Consider the following 25,249-nt stretch of genomic DNA (forward strand, 5'->3'; position numbering starts at 1 on the left):
TTATTAGTAACTAGAGTATAAAAATGGTTAGGAGGCTGTGTAAGTAATATAATCCAACCTCCTACCCTATGCAGAACAATTTTCCACAATATTTGTATAGCTATGGAAGCCCTCTATTACAAGACTCTTGGGGGCAAAAATCTTAGCTCTGTGCTGTTGCACCCTTTCTTCCCATTTCCAGACAGTTCTAATTATTAGAAAATTATTTCTTATGCCCATTGCATCTTTCTTAACCTCTCTAGAGGTTCTACCTCCCTACAATTTCTACTGATTGGGAATAGTTCTAACCTCTGGAATTATGCAAAACAAATCTAATACTTCTTTCACGTGCTAGCCCTTTCTTCATCATTCTGTCATCTTCTCTGGGCATATTAATCGGCTAGTGTGCTTCAATGAAACATGATACCCCAAATTAATCTAGTCTTGTCAGAACAGCATAAAGCATACAGCTTCCAACTCCCCTGACTTAGAATTGAAATTATACTTGTATTAATGAAGTCTAACTTGTTTTAGCAGAGAAAAATGGAGCTTCAACTAAGAAACTATAATCTCCTAAACTATACAAATTTGAACTATTATTTCACATAAAATGAAGTCTATATATAGGGTAAACTTCAGGCCTAAGTGACTTAGTAACAGTGAAATCATCAAAGACCAAATATTCACTCTTGTTTTCATTTATCACAGCTCCGCTCTGCCTAATGTTGACTTCACATTAAAGCTTATCTCTTACCATAATAAGAAGCAATCTGGGTCTCCTCAGTGTATCTCTCCCACAAGCACAAATAAGAATTCCTTCCTTCAGAGTGACTAGGCCAACTTCAGTCACATGGCCACCTATGAATGAATAACTATCAAGGTAATAGCCATGGGATAAATGGCTTAGGCCTGCTTCCTGAATCAATTGAATTAGCAAGGAGAATGGGATTATTCTAACTGGATTCGACTAATCAAGGCCCAGCCATGAAAGTGGGATCAATTCCCCAAATCACAATGCTGATACAAAATGAAAAAGTGGTGGAACGGGTTCTGGGGAATCCAAAGTGATCTGCCTGGCACTTCATAGTACACTTCACTTCCTCATGGTACAATGCTACACTTTTGATAACTTCAGGCTATAACAAGACAGAATTTCCAACTTAATAAAAATTTCTCCTTTACTATTCACATTTCCGACCCTTCTTCTAAGGTCTTTTTCCATCTTCCTGATGTATATCCTTTTAAATATTCTCTATTTAGTGAAGATCTGTTGGTAGTAAACACTCTCAATTTTATTTGAAAAGGTCTTTATTTTATTCTCATTCCTGAAAGCCAGACTTTGGTACATACTTTGGGTTGATAGGTTTATCTCAGTACTTTGAAAATATTATTTCACTGCCTTTTAGCTTCCATTGTTTGTTACTGATGTCATCCTGTTGCTTCTTTGCATGGGGATTTGTCTTTCTGTATCTAGAGGTTTCTAGGATTTTCTCTATGTCTCTGATGCTTTGCAGTTTCATTATAATATTCTATCTCTCATGTACTGCACATCTCGTATCTGTAGATTTGTGGTTCATCAATTACGGAAAATTCTCAGCTACTATTTCTTAAAATGTTGCTTCTCCAACATTCTTTTTTTTTTTTCTTCTGGGTTTCCAACTAGATGCATATTGAATTTTCTAAGTATTTCCCCCATGTTTTTAAACCTTGTCAATACTTTCCATAACTTCTCTTTATGTGATGAATTCTGGAGAAATTCTTCAGCTGGCAACTATTGTCAGGTCAAGTCACCCTATTCTACACCAGTGCAATTAACTTTCTATGCCTAAAATCAATTCCATGTTTATCCCTAACAGTTTCTGAGCTTCCTATATAATCACACCTCTTATATTGGATTTACTTACATCTTTCCACAATTACTTGGAGAAATTTCCTTTGAAGTTAATATACAAAAATTATCTCAGAACATTTAGTCAAAGAATGACTCAATTATTTGTATGTCAATAACATTCTCACCTGCTACTAATATTCACTTATAAACATCTACACAAATCTATCCACTACTAAAGTTATCATTCAAGTAATAATTCCATATTTATTATATTGACATCAGAGGATTTTAAACATTCAATGTTTTACGCAAAACTTTGTTTTCTTCTCCTATCATCCATCTATCTACCTATCTTATTGATCTTATCTATCTATCCCATCTATCGATCTATCTACTTGAGACAGGGTCTTGTTCTATGATCCAGGCTGAAGAGCAGTGACGCAATCATAGCTCACTGTAGTCTTGACCTCTTGGGCTCAAGCAATCCTCCTGCCTCAGCCTCCCACAGCTGGAACTACTGGTACATACCACTACGCCCAGCTAATTAAAAAATTTTTTTATTTGTAGAGACAGGGTCTCTCTATGTTGCCCAAGCTGGTCTTGAACTCTTGGACTCAACCAATCCTCCTACCTCAGCCTCCCAAAGTACAGGGATTACAGGCGTGATCCACGATACCAGGTCTAACCTCTCATTTTATTTTAAAAGAATAATGCTATTTCAAATCCTATTGCTCTAAAAATAAACTTAGTTTCAAAGAACACTAACATTATCAACCAATTCCTGGATTTTCTTTGAGCAGCTCTAGAATTAATGTTAATACCAATTTTTCTTCTCTGTTATTTACTGTCATGTGGTATCCCAAAATTATTAACAAGTGAAGCAACTATTATTAATTTTAAAAAGATTAGGGTTTTCGACCTTAATGTTTTCAAACCTTTATAATTGGACACATCTGATTAAAGCTAAAAAAAAAAAAAACTTTATTAATCTAGTAGAATGGTTCATTGTTGTGCTTTGGCCTGAACGTTAGACCAACAGCCTGCTCAGTCTATATACAGTTTTAGAATATATATACCTAATATTTTGAAATTTTGAAATTATTCACAGATCTGCAGTTTCAGATCCTTTCAATATTATAGAAACAAAGAGAGTAATTTAGTCCTACACTTAATGAAACTGTAGTTTATTTTGTTTATACTAAAGAAAAATACCCAAATAGGATTATTGGAGAATCTTTTTATGAAGTGCTCATATAAATTAAATTAGCTCATCTCAGAAAAAACAAGTAAGAAATATACAGATAACCAAAATAACATCATCTCTAAAAAGTACAAAAAGAATTAAAATGAAAAAGAAATAGTTAATACTTCTGTATCTATGTACCTAATAATACAGTAGTGAAGAGCAGAAACTATAGGATATGGAGTAAAAGAGACAGAAACCTACTACTAAGATACTTTAACATAATGTTCTCAAACCAAAATAGATCAAATAAAGAAGAATCTTAAAAATATAGGATGCCCAAAGAATAGATGTTTTATATATATTTATAGAACCTAAAAACCAAGAACTAGAAAATACACCTTTTTTTTAAAGCATGGGTGGAAAATTGAGAAAAAGTGACTGTCTTAGGCTACAAAGAAAATCTCATCAAATTCAAAAATATGAAGAAAAACATGAAAGTTACTTTTTAAAAATCAAAAGAAAACACACATACACACGTAAAAAACAAAAGGCCCTCCAACCTGAAAATTTTAACATTCCATTAAACAATTCTTAGATAATGGGTGGAATCCAAATCTAAAGAGGAGAACTTCCCGAAAATAACTGTCATAGTTTGACATATGAGATTCATGAGATTCAGCTAAAGCAGTTATCTGATGAGAACTTACAGCATTAAAGAACATAAATAAAAATGAAAACAAATGTTCAACAAATTCAACAACAACAAAAAAATAAGCAACCAAAGAAGGAATTTAAAGACCCAGAAATAAATGTTAGAAAGCACAAAGAAGGAACTAATATACAAATGTAAAAGCTGATTCTCTGAAAATAAACCACTGGCTAACCTAAACAAGAAAAAAGGGAGAAAGCACAAATTCAAAATCCTAAATGACAAAGTAAAAGTATCTCTAAGAACAAAGCAAAATGAAAAAATAAAACTATGAGGTGTTTTTTATTTTTTTTTATTTTTTGAGACAGGGTCTAGCTCTGTTACCCAGGCTGCAGCACAGTGCGCAATCTTGGCTCACTGCAACCTCTGCTTCCTGGGCTCAAGCCATCCTCTCACCTCAGCCTCCCGGGTAGCTGGGACTACAGGCACACACCACTACACCCGGCTAATTTCTGTACGTTTTGTAGAGATGGGAGTTTTGCCATGTTGCCCAGGCTGATCTTGAACTTCTGAGCTCAAGCAATCTGCCTGCCTTGGCCTCCCAAAGTGCGGGATTACAGGCATGAGCCACTGTGCCCGGTGAGATACTGTGTCTGGTGAGATTTCTTTACATAACTCTATGCAAACAAGTTTGAAAACTTACATGAAAAACGGCTGAAATTTCTAGAAAAATACTATTTGCCAAAACTGACTTTAACAGAACCAAAAGTCTACATCATTTTTCAAAGAAAAAATAAAGCCAGTTAAAGAACTCCTTCATAAAATAGTACCAAACCCAGTGGGTTTTGCAGGGGAATTTTACCAATCCTTTAAAGAGCAGAAAATCTAAATGCATTTAAAATATCCCAGAGTAAAGAACTGGGAATATTTTGTTATTATCTGTATTATAGATGAAGTAGTATAGTGCTGTTTCAAAGCAGACCTGAATTAGCTGTAAATGTACATTGTAAACTCTAGGGTAACCACCAAAAAAAGTAGAAAGAAGTATAATTGATATGCTAAAAAAGAATGAACAAAGAATCACATAAATGCTCAATTAAAACCACAAATTTTAAACCAAAAAAGGCACAAAACAAGTGAGAACAAAAACAGGAACAAAGAACAATGGCAATGAAGAGAAAACAGTAACGAATGTTGTAGATATTAATTCAACTACATCAACAATTACTTTAAACATCAATGGTCTAAATACACCAATTAAAACACAGATATTCTCGGAGTGGATGGAAAAACAAGACCCAATGGTATGTTGTCTACAAGAAACCCACATATAAACACATATATTAATAGATTAAAAGTAAAGGAATGAAGAAAGGTATACTGCTAACACTAATCAAAAAAGAGTATGAGTAGGTATATTAATTTCAGACAGAGTAGACTCTAGAGCAAGGTAAGTTATCAGAGACAAAGAGGAGCACTGCATAATGATACAGACGTCCAGTCTGCAAAAATACATAACAATTCTTATGTGTATGACCCTACCATCAAAGCATCAAAATACCTGAGGCAAAAACCGATAAAATTGCAAAGAGAAATTCACTCTTATGGTTGAGGATTTCACACCCTTCCATCATAAATGGAAAGATTCAGCAGGAAGTCAGTAAAAACACAGTTGAACTCAACAGCACCATCAACAAAATTGATATAATTGATTATAGATGGCTTTATCTAACAACAGCAAAATACACATTCTTCTCAAGCTCATACAGATCATTCACCAAGACAGATCACATTCTGGGCCATAAAACACACTTAACAAATGTAAAAGAAATCATACAATGTCTGCTTTCAGCCACAATGAAATTAAACTAGAAATCTGTAACAGAAAGATTAGGAAAATCCCCAAATGCTTAGAAATTAAACAACACAATTTTAATAAACATATTGGTCAAAGAAGAAATTGCAAAAAAATTTTTAAAATATTTTAAACTAAATGAAAATAAAAATATAACTTACAACAATTTGTTGGATGCAGTAAACACTGTACCCAAAGAGATATTTATAGCATTGAATGTATATATTAGAAAAGACAACCAAAAATCATTAATTTAAGCTTCCACCTTAGAAAACAACAAAAAGAACAAATTAAACCCAAAGTAAGCAGAAGAAAATAAACTTAAGAATTAGAATGAAAAAAGTCAATGAAATCGAAAACAGAAATTCAATAGAGAAAAATTAGCAAAACCAAATGCTGTTTTCTTTGAAAAGATCAATAAAATTTATCAGCTTCTAGCCAGGCTAATTAAGAAAAAAAGAGAGAAGACATAAATTATCAATAGGAGAAACAAAGGTAGGGATCTCACTACAAATCCCATGAACATTAAAAATATGATAAAGGTATACTATGAACAACTCATGAATACAAACTTGACAACCTACATGAAATGGGCCAATTCTTGAAAAATACAAGGTGCCAAAACTCACACAAGGAGAAACAAGCAATTTAAATAGGTATATATCTATTTTAAAAATTGAATCAATAATTAATAACCTTTCAAAACAGAAAGCACCAGATGGTTTATAGGTAAAGTCTACCAAATATTTCTGGAAGAAATTATACCAATTCTCTATAATCTCTTCAGAGACAGAAGAGATGGACTACTTCTTTTTTTTTTTTTTTTTTTGAGACGGAGTCTCGCTCTGTCGCCCAGGCTGGAGTGCAGTGGCGCGATCTCGGCTCACTGCAAGCTCCGCCTCCCGGGTTCACGCCATTCTCCTGCCTCAGCCTCCCGAGTAGCTGGGACTACAGGCGCCCGCTACCACGCCCGGCTAATTTTTTGTATTTTTAGTAGAGACGGGGTTTCACCGTGTTAGCCAGGATGGTCTCGATCTCCTGACCTCGTGATCCGCCCGCCTCGGCCTCCCAAAGTGCTGGGATTACAGGCGTGAGCCACCGCGCCCGGCCGAGATGGACTACTTCTTAACTCATTCTATGAGGTCAGCATTATCCTAATTCTGAAACCAGACAAAGACATTACAAAAAAACTAAAGACCAATATCTCTCATGAATAATAGCAAAAATCCTTATCAAAAATATTAGCAAATCAAAAAGTAACTATATAAAATGATGGATATGGAAATCTGCTTGACTGAAGGAATCATTTCACTATATATATTTGTATCATAACATGTTATGCAAATTAGATATAATTTTAAAAGTCAAACTTAATAAAAAGCTAGCAAATCAAATCCCACAATGTATATACCACAACCAAGAAGAATTTATCCTAGGTATGCAAGGCTGGTTCAATATTCAAAAATCAATTAATGTAACCCACCACATCAAGAGACTAACAAAGAAAACTCACATGATTATATCAATAGCTATAGGAAAAGCATTTGATAAAGTCCAACACTCAGACTAATAAAAACTCTTGGTAAATTAGAAACAGCGGCGAATTTCCTCAACTTGATAAAGATCATCTACAAAAAACCCTACGGCTAACGTCATACCTAATGGTGAAAAATGAGAAGTTTTCCTGCTAACATGAGAAACAAGGAAAGGATGTTCCCTCTCACTATTCCTTTTCATCATACTGAAATTTCTATCTAATGCAATAAGACAAGAAAAGGAAATAAAAAGAATACAGATTATTAAGAAGAACAAAAGTGTCTGCAAAAGACATGATTGTCTATGTAGAAATTCTGAAAGAACTAACAGAAGAACTTCAGGAATTAGTTCTTTTTTCAAGATCTTCCTATAAAGTTCAAGAACTTCAAGACTTCCTATAAAGCTATAGCAATCAAGACTGCGGGTGGGCAAAAGAACTGACAAATAGATTAGTTCAGGTTGCAGAATACAAGGCTAATACACATAAAAGTCAATCACTTTCCTATATACAACGGTAAGTGGAATTTAAAATTAAAACAATACCATTTTCATCAGTATAGAAAAAAATGAAATACTTAAGGATAAATCTAGCAAAATATGCATAAGACATGCATGAGGAAAATTACAAAATTGATTAAAGAAATCAAAGAACTAAATAAATGAAGAGTTATTCCATGCTCTTGGACAGAAGACTACATATCTGTCAAGATGTCAGTTCTTCCCAAATTAATAGATTAAATGTAATCCCCACCAAAAAACCCCAGCAAGTTACTTTGTAGATACTGACATACTCATTCTATATGGAGAACCAGAATAGCCAACACAATACTGAAGAACGAAGTCATGAGATTGACACTACCTGACTTCAACACTTCCTATAAAGCTATAGCAATCAAGACAGTGTGGGACGGGCAAAAGAAATGACAAACAGATCAGTGGAAAATAATAAGAGCCCAGAAATAGGCTCCCACAAACATAGTCAACTGATTTTTAACAAAGAAGCAAAACCAATTCAATGAAAAAAGGATAGTCTTTTCAACAAATCATGCTGAAACAACCGGACAACCAAATGCAAAAAAAATAAATAAATAAATAAAAAGAATCTAGACATAGACCTCACAGCCTTCACAAAAATTAACTTAAAATGGATCATAGATCTTAATGTAAGACAAAAAAAATAAAACTCCTAGAAAGTAACATAAGAGAGTATCTAGATGACCTTGGGTATGGCAATGACATCTTAGACACATCATCAAACTATAATCCATGAAAGAAATAACTGATAACTGGACTTCATTAAAATTAAAAGCTTCTACTCTATTAAAAAAACCATCAAAATAATAAGACAAGCCATAGACTGGGAAAAATAAGCTCAGAAGACATATGCAATAAGGACTGTTACCAAAAACATACAAGGAACTCTTAAAATTGAATAATAAGAAAACAACCTGTTTTTAAAAATAGGCAAAAGACCTGAACAATCTCACCAAAGATATACAGATGGCAAATAAGTATATGAAAAGACGCTCAAGAGCTTATCTAATAGGGAAATACAAAGTAAAACCACAAAGAGATACCACTACACACCTATCTGAATAGTCAAAATTCAATTCACTGACAACAATAAATGCTGGCAGGATGTGGAGCAATCGAAACTCACTCATTGCTGGTGGAAATACAAAATGATACAGTCACTTTAGAAGATAGTTGGCAGTTTTTTACAAAACTAAACATATTCTTACCATATGATCCATTAATTATACTCCTATTTACCCAAAGAAGTTGAAAACATATGTCCACACAAAAATCTGCACACAGATGTTTATAGCAGCTGTATTCATAATTGCCAAAACTTGGAAGCAACCAACATGTCCTTTGGTAGGTCAATGGACAAATAAACAGAATAGCCGAACTTTACACTGTGGACTATGAGTAATAATAATGTGTCAGTGTAAGGTCACTGATCGCAACAAATGCACCACTGGTGTGAGACACTGATAGTGGTGCAAGTCCTGCATATGCTGGGGGAGGAAGTGTTATGGGAAATCTCTGTATTTACCATTAACTTTTGCTGTGATCCTAAAACTGTATAAAACATAGTGTTTTTCTAAAACCAGAAAAGTGACAAGTAAAATTATCTGTACTTGATATCTTAAGTAAAATATTTTCCCTAAAATACAGAATTTTTAAAACAGAGAAGAAAAAGACCAAAAAAAAAAAAAAAAACAGAGAAAATGGGCAGGGGATACAGTAAATTACCTGTAAATACATGAAGATGCCCAACCTCACTCACAAGAGAAACATAATTAAAACTATGATGAAATAACATTTTTTTCTATGAAATTGGCAAAAAGACAAGTTTGAAAACACATACTAACAAAGCAAAGATAAAGTAATTTGGCTCTGTGTGCTGCTGGCAACAATGCAAATGTCATTATGTAGTAAGATTATGTAGGCATTTACCCTTTGACACAGCAATTCCATTTCTAGAGATTTATATTTCCCTAAGACACAGACACAAAAATGCAAAATAACAATTGCATATATTCCCTGTAGCTCTGCTTTTAGTGGCAAGACTGAAATAACCTAAAATCTCCACTAATAGAAGACTGGTTGAATAATGTACCATACAATCATACAATGAAATACTATGTAACTATAAAAAAGCTTAAGATATAGCTTTGCATACTGCTATAGAATGATCTCTGGTACAGTGTTAAGTTAAAAAAGCAAGGTGAAGAAAAATGTATACAGTAATGCTACCTTTTATCTAAGAAAAAGAAAAAAGGTGATTATATATACACTAATTTGTGTGCATATATATGTAAATATTAAATATATATATGTGTGTATTAAAACAGCCGGATTACCCAAAAACTAATAAATGTGGTTACCTACAGGGAAAAGGGTACAGCAATCATGGGACAGAAGTTAAAGACTTTTCTGAATGTAAAACTGTTTTGTAAATTTAGCTTTGAAATCATGTAAACGTTTTATGTAATTAGAAAATGAAAGAAAAAAGAAATCTAAAAACTTCAAAATTACTTGTAATTATCTGATTATTTCAGTTAACCCAACTAAGTATCAATTTGGTGGTTTAACCACATAGAGAAGACCTGTTTCAAGTAACTTAAAATGTACGAATTTGACTATATATTCCTAATAGACAGATTTAACAATATTATCTTAATAGGATATATCTTAAGAACTATATAGAAACCTTAAGTTGAGCTCAGTATAACACTATTAGCAATAATATAGTTGCTATTCTGAAACTATTAAATGTAATGTAAGGTCAGGCAAATGAATAATGTCAACAGGGACCAAAATTTTCAGCAGAAGAGAAAAATCATACAACTAATAAAATCAAAGTTAAGTAAAAGTCCTGCAGTCCAAATCTGAATTATTTGAATTCATGTTTGTCTGTTTTAAAGAGAAGATCTATACGCATTTCCTAGGTATGCCTAATGAAAAGCCCCAAAGACAATGACTAATCTAGCGGTAAAAGCTTTCAAGTACTCTCAGTAAAAGGAACCAAGTTTTTTGAGGAAAATGGCTGATTCCACATATATAGTATGAAATACACAATGTGCTGGGAATACGTGATCTTCAGAGAAACAAAGAAACTACAGAGGATTACTAAAGTGGTCTCAAAACAACATGATATAACTGGACTTCATTCAAGTTGAAAGACATTTTGAAAGACACCACAAAAAAAAATAAAAAGGCAGGCTGCACACTGGGAAAACGTATTTGCAATACATATATCTCACAAAGGATTGGTATACAGAATATTACCAATTGGTAATAGGACAAAGAGCCTAATTTATGAGCAAAAGATGTTAACAAATAAACAATTAGCCAATAAAAGATATACATAAGATCAGAAACAGCCAATAAACATATGAAAAGATGTTCAACATCACTAACCATTAAGAAATGAAAATTAAAACTACTATATACCCACTAGAAGGGCTAACATGAAAAAGACCAACAATGCCAAGTGTTGGTAAGAATACAGAGAGAAAATTATTCAGTGTAGGTGGAGATGCAAAATGGAACAACCACTTCAGAAAACTGTTCAGCAGTTTCTTATAAAGTTAAAAATATACATAAGACACAGTTCTACCCCTAGATATTTACCAAAAGAAAACTTTTCCACACAAAAACATATATACACATGTTGATAGCAGCTTTATTCTTAATAGGTGAAAACTAGAAACAACTCAAATGTCCATCCACTGGAGAATGGCTAAACAAATTTTGATATATCCATCTAATAGAACATGAATCAGCAATAAAAGGAATGAACTACTGACATATGCAACAATGTGGTTGAATCTGGTAAGTACTATGCTGAAAGAATCAAGACACGATAATATATATGATTCCATTACAGTGACAGATCAGAGGTTATCAGGAGTGAGTTTGGGAGGCGACTGATGACAAAAAGGCATGAAGATATGTTTTCGGTTGACAGATATGTTCTGTATCTTGATTGTGGTGGTAGTTATACAGGTGGCACATCTGTCAAGACTCAAACTGTATACTTAAAATGGGTGCATTTCAATGTTTGAAAATTATATTTCAATAAAGTAAATTTAAAAAAAAGGCTCAGGATCCAATACAAAGATCACCCACAAGCTAAGGAAGGGACATCTGGGCATAAAAATACTAATAGTGGGAATGGATTACAGTTAGAGAAATCAGTAAAAACTCATGGTTAGCTTAATACAGATAACAGATGGTCACTAGAAATATTTATATATACCAGTTAGTATACACGCATATATTTATTTGCTCTGCTAGCTGAGAGGTCCTAAAAGAAACAATACCCCACTAGCACAAACACAGCTAACGCCCAGGTTTTGGTTACTAATACCATTCTACAATAAAAGAAACCAGGGCACAAGCACATGCTCATTCCCTTGCTGTGTGTGCCAGTGTGCATGTGTCTCAGAATACTAACCCTTGGAATTCAGTTATCAGGCTGTGAGGAAGCCCAAGCTATCCAAGGGAAGAGACCACATAGAGACAAACAGAGGCCTCTAGCTGACAGCCAGCATCGACTGCCAAACAGGTGAGTAAATAAACCTTCAAGTGATTCCAGCCTACGTGCTTCCAGTAGATTAACTGAGGCCCACAGATCAAGAGAAAAGACATCCCTGCTGTGCCCTTTCTGAATTCCTGACAGAATTTGAGCACATAATAAATGGTTGTTTTACATCAAGGAATAGCAACTGGAACAACTCTTAATGCTATCAAAGAATACATCTGCAGATCATACTAGGCTAAACTTAAAAGTTTTTTCCATATAAAATGAAAATATATAGCTATGTTGGAAAATCACCATAATTATCTCCGTACTACATATTCATTACCAAATTTCCACCAGGTGGTAGATACACTGTACCTCTACTTATACTCTTATCCTTCTAAGCCTTTTCTTTTGAAATAAACAAACAACACTCATTTGATCTATTTACCCCTACAGTGATCAGCTTCCTAAATTTTTACTTTGGTGACTTTCTACTATTTCTATTTTGCATTTAAACTATGTTTTATTATTTCCAAAGAATTTTATACGTACTTCTTCATTTGGTTCTCACCATAACTTGTGATAAACTGGGGCAGGTACATCTATCCTACAAGTTAAAAGACAAAGTCAAGAGACTTACTCAAGATATAGTTAGTAACAATGTTAAGGCCTTCTAACTTAAAAGTCCTCCACTGCAGGAGTCCTGCTAATTCTAACAGCTACAGTATTATCCCTTCCTCTAGAGTCAGTGCCATTTTTTTTTCTCATCTAGACAGAAATATCAAGATGGCAGAAAAAGAACAAGGTAAGGCCAAGTGCAGTGGCTCACAACTGTAATCCCAACATTTTTGGAGGCTGAGGCAGGAGGATTGTTTGAGCCTGGGAGGTGGAGGCTACAGTGAATCATGTTTGCATCATTGCACTTTAGATCGAGAGGGAGAGCAAGACTCCGTGTCAAGAAAAAAAAAAAAAAAGAACAAGATAGGGGATGTCGGGGGGCAGTAAGAGAACTGAGGAGGCAACTGTGAAACAAAACTAATAATTGCATGGGCATTCTAGGAGGTACAATTTCCAGAGACAGTAAACTTCATACTAGAAATACATTTTCAATTCAGTAATAAGACACCTGGAATAGGTTTAAAGTTGGATAATCAACTTGAGATCCACCTATAGACTGAGAATTGAAAAAGTAATTTGAGTGTAGTCATCTTAAATAAATTCAGGATAAATATCAAGTCTAAACAAATGATCTGTTTGAAGGTAAGCAATTAGGTTGGGGTGGGGTAGGAAACATAAACAAATGACAGAAATGGTCCTTTGAAAAAACAGTGGACAAGGGAAAGAGAACAACATTGTGAAGTCTCAAAAGAAAAACCTCGAGGTGGAAAAGAAAAAAAACAAAACCTCTAAAAATTACTTTTTAGGAACCAGAAAAAGTTATTAAAATAACAGGTAAAGAAAAAGTATTTAACCAGTTGAAATAATTAACATTTAGAAAATTAACATCAGTTAAAATATTATTCCAATTGTCATTTTTGTTTTGTTTTGTTTTTTTGAGACAGAGTCTTACTCTGTCACCCAGGCTAGCATGATCTCAGCTCACTGCAACCTCCGCCTCCCAGGCTCAAGTAATTCTCCTGGCTCAGCCTCCCGAGTAGCTGGGATTATAGGCATGAGCCACCACACCTGGCTAATTTTTGCATTTTTAGTAGAGACGGGGTTTTGCTATGTTGGCCAGTCTGGTCTCAAACTCCTGGCCTCAAGTGATCTGCCCACCTCAGCCTCCCAAAGTGCTAGGATTACAGGCGTGAGCCACCACACTCAGCTATCCCAATTGTTTTAATATTGTATATGAGGACGAATAAACAACAACAAAAAACTAAACACTTTAAAAACAAAGATCATGAAAAAGTTCTGGAAATGAATGGTGGTATCAGTTGCATAACAGTGTAAATGTACTTAATGCCAATAAACTGTGCATCAAAAAATTGTTAAAATAGTAAATTTTATGTGTATTTTACCACAATAAAAAAATGAAAATAAAAACAAAGATCAATAAAGAAAAATAAACTTAGACCACTGCTCTTGCCCATTTGCTCTGATGTAAGACTTAGGTAAGCAATACTCATAGGGCACCTCTAACTCCTAAATTAGGTATCTTCCCACAGTGACAAATTATCTAATTCTTTCTTGAATGCAGCCACAAAGCTTCTACTAAGAGATAAGGATGCCCTACAGCACCTGTATGTCTCCGTCATCAATAAATGCTTGAATATTCTTCCTGACTATATTTAGGGGTCTAATTTTGCTTTCAAAGCTAATTTATCTTTTGTGCTCAAATTCCATAAAATAACAAGTCTCTGCAATATAAAATGAAAATACAATTCCATTTTAATCTGAAAACCTCTACTGATTAAATGCAACTATTTCCTACTGACTACCTCATATAAGCCTCTCACTTTTCAGTTCCACCGTATTAAGTCTGATTCACATCACCTAGACCAGCCCTTTCCAACAGAAACATGATGCAAGCACTTAAGTAATTTTACAATTCCTTGTTGTAACATTAAAAAGAAAAAAAGATAAAGGTAAAATTAAAATACTGATAACATTATTTAACCCAGCATATCCAAAATCATTGTCCTCTCAACATATAATCTACATTTTAAAATTTGAGATATTTTACTTTCTTTTCATACTAAGTCTCTGAAATTCACTATGTATTTTATATTTACAGCACACTTCAATTCAGACTACCCACATTTGACAGCACAGACCTTACATCAGCAGGGTTTCTCAATCATGGCTGCATATCAGAACCACTTTCCATTAATTCAGTAAGTGAACTTACTAGTTCCAGGGTCTGGAGGTAAACTGGTGAGCAAGACAGATCTCAGCATGTCTCTTTTCTCTATTGCTAAACTGTGAGTTTGGCACACAAGACCACTGATAATCTGGTCCTAATCTACTTCAGCCTTCATCTCACGTCCACGTTATCATTTTTATAACCTAGGCACACAGCTTCACAAGCTCCTCAAACACATTAGTCCTTTAAAACTCCTTACAGTTCTTGTGTTGGTTTTCTCTTCTTCCCTCCCCTCTGACACCGCGTCGATCCTTCAACACCAGTCCAAGTGTCATTTTCCCTGAAGAGGTCCCTGGTTCTCCAGGTAATTACTTACTCTCTCCATTGTGCATTTTGCTCGTATCTTTCTGACACACTATCACATGCTACAGAATTACAAGTTATCCATTTATGAATTTGATAACCACAAGATCAAGGGTTACCAACCTCATAATTCAAACACACTGGAGTTGACATCAGTGACAGAGAAGAGGAGGAATTACAGCTAATTTGCTGAAAATCACACCCATTCTATCTTAGCTATGCCTATGTAATCTATTCCACAGTTGCCCTTACCTAACATAGGCCTGATCTTCCTAGAGAAATTCATTACATGAAGATCAACAGTCATGTGTTGCAGCAAGAATGCACCATAAAAATGATCAGTATCTGTTACCTGTCAAATATAACACTAAAAATAATTAATACCTTGCTGGTGGCTCATGCCTGTAATCCCAGGACTTTGGGAGGCTGAGGCAGGTGGATCACAAGGTCAGGAGTTCAAGACCAGCCTGCCCAACATAGTGAAACCCCATTTCTACTGAAGATACAAAAAATTAGCCAGGCGTGGTGGCACGCACCTGTAATCTCAGCTACTTGGGAGGCTGAGGCTGGAGAATCGCTTGAACCTAGGAGGCAGAGGTTGCAGTGAGCAGAGATCATGCCATTCCACTCCAGTCTGGGAGACAGGGTGAGACTCTGTCTCAAAAGAATACTAATAAATAATAATTAATATCCTGGTGTCCCAGGTTATTAACAGTTCTGTTTAAGTTTAGATAGTGTATTACCTAAAACCTGATCACTGTTGAAATTTGTAACTCTATCCCTTAGGTATACACGATGCTCAGTGCCTTTGAGGGCTTTCTCATCTAGGGAAAGCAAGAATCAGGCTTTAAATTTCTTAACAAAATGCCAACTTTACTGTACTAACTTTATTTGATGAACATAAAAACCCTTATGATAAACAACACACTTACATTCAGTTAACTGTCAACAACCTAAATCTCCAAGGCTGATGTTCATCTTCTATAAGAGCCTAAAGACAATTTATATTAGAAAAAGCTAAGTGCCATTTCAATACCAGTATATACCATTTATTACGCATGTGTCATCATGGAATAGTAAATCATTTACATGTATATTCTTCACAGCAACATGGACAGCCTGCATTTCCATTTTACGGATAAGGAGACAAGAAGAAGAGTTTAACAATTCCTAAAGTAATATGCTCTAAATATGGATTCCAGATGTTTGCTCCTTATACTAATAACAATTCATCTAGTAGTATGCTAGAGTCAGTCTGTACTGACTCATAAGAGCTGATTTAAATTTTTAGGAATTCTGGAAGCCACTGTTAAACACAGCCATGATTGAACAAATAAACTGTATTAAAAACAAAGATAATAAGTACTCAGAACTCATAGTAAATTTTACTTCTGAGGTTATTTACATTTTGTGTGTCTGTTTATAATATACATAACGGGAACACTGTATACAATGTCACTTAGCATCTCTTCCCAACTATGCATCTGTCAGTGATGTCTTTGAAAGCTTGAAACTGACCATGGTGGGAGTATTTACATAAAAGAAGGGGCAAACCCTAGAAAGCATGGCTTTCTTTTTTTCAGAGTAGCGGTACATTTACTGGCAGACCGCTGAGGCATCTGTTATTCTGAATCAATAGGTTATTTCAAAATGTAATACACACGCTTAGCCCCAACCCAGAAATTCTGATTCAGTAGATTAGGGGTGGAATATTGGCATGTGTATTTTGAAAAAGATCTTCCCTCAAAAGGAATGTTGATAAAAACCTCCAGCTGAGAACTATTTAAGATTTTTAAGACTGTATCACTGTATAACATTAGACATTAGAAAACTAAATACTTAAAACTGTATTGTAAGAAATAAGTTTCACAAATTATAATGCTGTCAGGGCTTTTTTACCATGGGTCAAAAACAGCTGCAGAAAACTTCTACATAATTTAAGTGATCAAGGAAGTTGTTGCTTCCTTGATTCAGTTACAATTCAGTAACTTTCATAAAAAGACTATAATAGAGGACAACTGGATATCCACATGCAAAAGAATAAGGCTGAACCTTTACCACATCATAAATAAAAATTAGCTCAAAATGTATCAAAGGCTTAAATATAAGAGCTAAAACCAGAAAATGCTTCAAAGACAACATAGACGTAAATCTTTGTGACCCTGGACTAAACAATAGTTTCTTAGATGACACCAAAAGCACAAACAAGCAACAATAATAACAAAAAAAACAAAAACAGGTAAGTCAGATTTCATCAAATTAAAAATGTGTATGCTTTAAAGGACACCATCAAGAATGTGATGATAACACACAGAATGGGAGAAAAGATCTGCAAGTTACATATACGATAAGGGACTTGTATCCAAAATAAAGAGAACACTTGTAACTCAATAATAAAAAGACAACTCGATTTTTAAAATGGGAAAAGAATCTCCAAAGAAAATATACAAATAGCCAATAAGTACACAAGAAGATGCTCAACATCATTAGAATCCAAAATGCAAATCAAAACCACAGTTAGATCATCATTTCACACCCATCAGGATGGCTATAATCAAAAAGTTAGATAACAAAAGTGTTGGTGATGATGTGCAGAAACTAGAACTTTCATATGCTGTCAACAATGTGAAATGATACAGCCACTTAATGAAAGTCTAGAAGTTCATTAAAAGGTTAAACACACAGTTACCGTAGAACTTGTCAACTCCACTCCTCAATATAAACCCAATAGAAATAAAAACATATCCATATACAAACTTGTACATAAATGTTCATAGCAGCATTATACACAGGAGTCAAAAAGTAGAAAAAGCCCAAATATCCATCACTGATGAGTGGATAAACAAAATGTGATATTATCAATACAATGTAATATTATCTGACAAAAATAAGGAATAAAATACTGATGCATCCCATACTCTTTCACGAACCTTGAAAAGGTATGCTAAGTGAAAAAAGCTAGTCACAAAAAATCATGTTTTATTATTCCATTTATATGAAATATATAGGCAAATCTCTAGAGAGAGAAAGAGGATTTAGTGGTTGCCTAGGGCTGGTGGCTAGGAGGGCGACTGCTGAAAAGTTTGGCGTTTCTTTACGTAGCAATGAAAATATTCTAAAATTGACTGTGATGATGGTTTCACAACTCTAATAATACTAAAAACCACTGAGGCGTACACTTTTAATGAGTGAACTGTATGGTATGTGAAATATGGTATGATAAATTTCTAGAAAAAAATTAGCTCTGGGAAAGATTTCCATTCCTGACAAACACTTTTCTTTTATTCAATGAACTACATTATAAATTTTATTTCTCTTGGCTTCACTGCCAACAAATTCACAGCTAAAATTTGTGGTCATATGTGCTTTCTTTTACCTCAACTTTCTAGTGCAGTTTGTTAACCCCATGTGTTTTGCTTTCATTGTTTTCATTTGTAAGTGTTCTACTGCAAGCCACTTCAATCTTTCTTGGAAGCAGATGTGATGGCTGGCTGAATTCTGAAAACTTAAAGATACTCATGATCCTCGTCAAGGATCCCTACTAAGGGATCCCTACACAAAATCCCTACTAAGTTCAGCTTGAGTTCTGCCAACTAATCCCTTTCATCTTAACTACCATAAAGAACTGAACCAATCACAGTTTTCCCAGGGGACTCTTTCCCTCTAAATTACATTATCCATATAGAACATTATAATGCCGTATTACACATTTACCATATATTTAGCACACAATATTTAAAATGAAACTCAAATTAACAAATCACTACTGAAGTTGAACTTTGTTTTGGGAAATTCAATCCTACCCTAACAGGTGAGGATGACTCCTCTGTATTTCGTTTCTGGGGCTCAGTGTCCACGTCTTGGCGCTTGTTCTTCATTCTTTCTCTAAGATCCCCTGTAGGTCTTTCTGGTGACCTTTGAACCAAAACACAGAAACAAAACAAAAAACGAAACAAAACAACAAAAATCTGTATTTATATATTAATAACATTTTATAAGAATGTATTTACAGAAATAACCTCACAAATCTCAATACACTTTTTCTAACTGACCTTGACTCCTGAATTTCTGAAAAATTTCACCTTAAATATTAATATGCAAAACACGAGCAACACTTACAGTTTTTCTCCCAATAACAATCAAAATGTATATGTTAAATTCCACGAAGTGGCAGGTACTGGTGATGTGAATAAGAAATTATATGTGAACTGAGAAAAAGGAACTAATAGCTTGACTTGTTTTCCTATTAATCACATAAATATATTAGTTATATGTGGGAGCAAAATGTAGTAGTAACACAAAGTTTTAAACTACAAAGTTGCAAAATTAATCTAGAGGTAGCAGCATTATCATTTATACTGAAAGATATAAGAAGATATTACAAGAAATAAGTTTCTTGTATACACATGCCTGTGGTTGGATGCAACATCAATAACTGAGAAAATATTTTATGTACCTTAAGTAAGAATCAAAGCAAATATAGGAGCTTTAAAATTTATCTTAAATTTTAAATTATTTCAGAATAAAGATAAAGGATTCAAGGCAATTTTACAACAGTGATTTTCATATTCTGCTGTAAATTTTTTAACTAAAGGAAAAATACATATTTATACTCAACAGTGGTAAGGCTTTATTATTTATACTAGAAATTTGACAGTATATGGCTATGCAATTATTTTCACTATCAGTGGGAAAAAACAAAGGAGAGATGGAAAACAGACTGCCTTTAAAGACTATTTCTACAACACCTTTAAAACAGGGCAAAAGAAGTTAAGGAATGCTCTGTTCCTCTTTGACTACCAAAAAGTACTATATATAAAAAAGATATAAACAAATCACATAAATATTCACATCTATTTCAAGCAGTCATTGGGCAATCAAATCAGTTCCTTGATTTTATGAATATAAATCATAAGGTTAGTAAAGAAATAATTTGAGTTAATTCACTTTAAAGGATCTCATTAATGTTTACATGCACATGTAATAGATTTATATTAAATGTTTTAACAGTTAAAGCTAAACTTGAAACTGGAATCTCTTACTAAGAACCAGTACTTAAGTGCTCTAAATTATAATGATGTACATGTAAATCCTATGTGCCCTGGTTTCCTTTATATAATAAAACACTTTAGTATGAACTTGTTTCTATCCTAAACAGCACCCAACAGAATGAATGTTTTACACACAGCGAATTCTCAATTAATTATGTAAAAGTCTTGTATATAAACATATAAATAAGCATTCTGTAAAATACATTGCTTTTCTTATCTTTGACTCGCATTATGAACTATGTTTTTCCTCCCGACAAAAAAAATGCACAAATACGAAAGAAGTTATCAGATGGAAAATCATACACAAAATAGCAAAATTATAATAAATATTCTTTATTCTAAGTCTAGCAATGACATTACTTTTTCCCATTTTAGACAAATTTCTCTGACCATTTTTCTCAAAATGATTTCTTGAATAAAAATTCTGAGTCAGCTAATAAATTTCAAAGATAAATTTTAAAATGTATCAAAAGTATAGTATTAAAGCAAAACATTAAAAGTATCGAAATAGTTTCACCAGGTATGTATCTACGTGTATATATACAAGTAAACACACATATACAATAAACACTAATCTTCCCACATTAACGGAAGTGACAAATGACAATCTAAATACAAATAAAACAGTATTCAGAATCACAAATAAACTAAAATGTACAATGTTTACGTGAAAAAGAAGTTGGCTAATGTTGAGGGTTTGAATTTTAAATTCTCCTAAACAAAATCTACCCATACACTACCCCCAAAAAAATCATTCAACTAAAAAAAAAAAAAAAAAATTCCAATTGCTAATGTTCAGTTTTTATAGTGTTGCTATGCTATAGCCAAAACAATCAGTGTAACCAATTTTGGATCTAGGTAAATTATTTCTTTACCAATCAAGTTAAAACTGTTTTTGTGACAAACTTTATGTATATTACATCTTTAAATACCATAAAATAATCATCATGAGGGAACCAAAAGAAAAATAAAAGGTCTTTATTAAGCAAGTTTAATCTAGCCAAGCCTTTATTAAAGGCAAAACGATGTTCGAAATATGGAGCATATTCATCCACATATAAATACATATTTTCATTAACATACTGTGCTAAGGGATTTGGCAAATGCATTTTAACCTATAGAATTTGTACAAAATTTGAATTCAGAACATCTTAAACAGCTAAAATTATACCCTATTTGAATTTTACTATTTTAAGAGTTAAAAATAGCCTCACTAAAAAGAAATTCAGACACCATGGAATTCTGCTGTCTTAAGCAGCAATTTAATACATAATTAGGGGGGAAAAAGTAAGCCATACACATACTACAAAAAGATCTACTGTCAAAACAAATAAATAATGAACAAATAAGTTAATTTGAAAGCAAACATTTTATTAATCTTGAAAATAACAAAAAGATCCTGTCGATCTTCAATTACTGGTAAGACTACCACCAATATAGAAAATCTGACCAAATATATGGTTGTATTTCAGATTTTTATACTAGATAAATTACAAAAGCCATCTTCTAATAGTACATGAACAATACAAAGTTCTCAGTTTACCTTCTATAATTGCTGCTATAACCTTTACCACGAGGTGAAGGGCCATGTACGAATCTACATGTGTTTCCATAGAGGCAGTTGCCAGTCTTCAGCCAGTTACGGCACTGTGTCTAAGAGACAGATATTACTATGTAAATTTCATATTTATTTCTGGAAAAAAAAAATGCTAGCGGGACAAAATTAAAACAAATGCTACCAAAATTCCAGCTAACCTGTGATATATTACTCCCCAAATAATAAAAACTTCAGGAAAAAAATATGGAAAAACCCATAAACCTTATCACCCTTTTCACTTCTTTTTATAAAACACACTTTAAAAAATTTACTGAACAAACATTCCTACAATAAAACAACCTGTTCACCTTTATGATACAAATAAGCATTTCAATAATAGAATTCTAAGAGAACCCCTGTGACTATACTAGTGACAACTCACCTCTGCTGTACTGCCAGTGCTGGGTCCAAGCCTCTCAAATACACTGGGTCTTCGGGATGTGCTATCAGATATAGTCTTGGTATTTTCCACTGTGACCTTCCTTCTAATTTTTGACATTTTGTACTACTTCAACCAAAAAAGAAAGAGGCAAAACTGTAAAATTCCTCAGTTTTAAATAACTGAGCCCACAGCTTACAAGTAGATAAAACTATAGGTAACAGTGTAAAATTACAGGAGATTTTCCTTGGGAGATTAAAAAAAAAAAGCATAGGAGAGGTCACAGGTAAACAGAGATAATATCTTCTAAAACATGCCTTACTGGTGAATTTATAACAGCTGTGAGATCTGTTGGCTAGAATTGTACCTCTTCTGCAGAGTGAACGAATATGATCCTACTCACACAGTGAAGTTTTCATAGTACAATCAACCTCAGAAGATACAGTACAAAATGTTTACTTTATAAAAGTTACTTACAAAAATTGCTTCAAAATTTAGTAACTCAAAGTTGTTAACCATCAACTGGTTAACTGAAAAAGAGTTATGCTAAAGAAAATGGAAAAATAAAATTGGGTGAAAATTTTCATAGCAGAAATTATGTTTCATAAGTTTAAGGGACAACAGCAGTTATGTTCCAAAAATCAGGTTGAGAAAAATGAATGATATTTTAGTATTTTCTTTGCCTGACAGAAGTCAAAACAATCTGATCAAGCATATTTATTTTCCAGTAACACAAAAACAAAACAAAACAAAACTCAATGTTGATAGAAACAACTTTCAAAACAGGACAGACTGTAGAACTAGAAAAAGTCGAGGTGTTTCTATAATCTATACTACACTGACATAAAATTCAAAGGTGTTAAAAGTAATTATCAGACTATTTTACCATTATTAGTAATAACAAAAAAGGCAAATTGTAAAAATATTTTTATTTTATTTTACGTTTAAGCTCTGTTAGATTTGATGTAAACATAAAAATATTTTTTAAGGGCCAGGCACAGTGGCTCGTGCCTGTAATCCCAGCACTTTGGGAGGCCGAGGCGGGCGGATCATGAGGTCAGGAGATCGAGACCATCCTGGCTAACATGGCAAAACTCCGTCTCTACTAAAAATACAAAAAAAAAAAAAAAATTAGCTGGGCATGGTGGCGGGCGCCTGTAGTCCCAGCTACTCTGGAGGCTGAGGCAGGAGAATAGCATGAACCCAGGAGGCAGAGCTTGCAGTGAGCCGAGATCACACCACCGCACTCCAGCCTGGGCGACAAAGCGAGACTCCATCTCAAAAAAAACAAAAAAACTCTCTCTATATATATATATGTATGTAAATAAAACATTCAAAAACTGAAACTATAGTAAAAATCTAATCCAATGACATAATTGGGTAATTCAACTAGATTTGCAAGTATCAGATAATGACAGTATATTATGACATTAGAAAACAATATTAAATTCTAGACCAAGATACAATCCAGAGCATACACTACTGTGGGAAGAGGGTAGAAACTGCCTCATAAGGGGAAGGAAAAAAAACACCATACTATATCCCGCTTTATACAAACTAAATATTAGTTGAAATCTTATCAATCATCAAAAGTTACTAGAATGAACCACAGCAGCTAAAAAAGTTTCATTTAGTCTCTATAAAGATCACAAATCTTTAATGTGGTTTCAAAGTAAAGACATATCACTTTAAAGGAAATTAAATCGTGGTAGTACCTAATTGAAACAGCAATAAAAAATTATAAACAGTGTTTGGTTCAATGAGGTACTTCAGGTCACACTTTTAAAAGAATCCAAAGACTAAGAACAACATTTGATAAATAAAAGATGGTGCATCAAGGAAGGAAAATATGAAATAATATATGGTGATTTTAAATTGGAAAATCTATATTTTTATCAATATAAAATGTAATAATTCTTTTGATATAATAGCAATTAATTTTTAGTGATTTTAAAAACAGAATTACTTCACAGTAATTATAAATTTAAGAACCAGTGGAGAGCATCACATAAACAATAATTTGCTGCAACACAAAATCAATTAAATATTAATTGTTCTCCAAGTAAGGAACTACACACCAATTCTACATACTGGTGTTAGCATTATAAGATAATCTTTGATTTAATTTTTCTTAGACTCATTCTCAGCTGAAATGTGAACATACGGAGGAGAAGCTGGTAAAATTTCCTATGTCTATTTGATTTACTGAGCACGAAAAAACTGAAAGCTAAGAGAAGTGGAGCTGAGAAAGATCTAGAAAATGTAGAGCTTTGAGAAAAACTTTTTTAACAATATATATCCAAGCATGATTCAATAATAAGTAAATGTATCACAATGTATAAGAAGTTTGAGAAAAACATAAAGTTTCATTATATATTGCTACATTAATATACAAATATAGAGTAATCCTCAACCAATAATTCAATTTTTAAAACATTTCTTAATAAACAAAATTGAATAGGTTCCAAAATTTCCTTATTTGCTAGTTATGTAGAACTTAGAAAACAGGCACAACCATCCCACCACACTGCCTCAAGTGGACTAACACTAATTTTTTATTTTTCCCTCCACTGTCACTGGAAATGAGTTAGTTCTGCCCCCAACATCTCTACTACCCCCAACATGCCTCCACTCCCAGCTCAGTCTCCTTCAAAAAATTCAATGGTAATGGTTTCCAGTTAGGACGACAGGCTATTTATTATCGTACTTATTATACTTAAAACATTGGTCATCTATCATCTCCTTTCTTTTTACTTTTTGAGGGTTCCAGGTATTAACTCTACAGTTTCTTTTTCTGGTCTGTCCTCTGTTGCCTGATTCGCACTACTCTCCTCCCTTGACCTATTGCTTTGCTGGTCTGAGAGCTTCTCTCCAATCCTAGACTCCCTAAGGCAAACTTTGAAGATTTCGCCGGGCGCGGTGGCTCACGCCTGTAATCCCAGCACTTTGGGAGGCCGAGGCGGGCGGATCACGAAGTCA

The 25,249-nt window shown here is 33.6% G+C and overlaps 1 protein-coding gene across 28 annotated transcripts in view; it reads right to left on the reverse strand.

The window, feature by feature from the left end:
- ZC3H13 (zinc finger CCCH-type containing 13) overlaps nt 1-25,249 on the reverse strand; it is a 98,282-nt gene that overhangs the window by 68,653 nt on the left and 4,380 nt on the right. For 14 of the 28 annotated variants that reach the window (NR_167893.1, XM_047430207.1, NM_001382207.1 and 11 more), the window contains 3 exons: nt 22,274-22,396; nt 21,838-21,947; nt 19,047-19,158 (listed from right to left, as the gene is read on the reverse strand). The exons of 1 other annotated variant lie outside the window; for it this stretch is intronic. Coding sequence is in view for 26 of the 27 variants with exons in the window: in XM_047430207.1 (XP_047286163.1) it covers nt 19,047-19,158; nt 21,838-21,947; nt 22,274-22,390 (339 nt within the window). In the remaining variant the exon portion in view is untranslated. Of the gene's footprint in view, nt 1-19,046; nt 19,159-21,837; nt 21,948-22,273; nt 22,400-25,249 lie in introns of all 28 variants that reach the window. 13 more of the 28 variants (NM_001330565.2, NM_001076788.2, NM_001382212.1 and 10 more) reach the window with 1 other exon arrangement.

This window comes from Homo sapiens, chromosome 13, assembly GCF_000001405.40.
Source record: "Homo sapiens chromosome 13, GRCh38.p14 Primary Assembly".
NCBI lineage: Eukaryota > Metazoa > Chordata > Mammalia > Primates > Hominidae > Homo > Homo sapiens.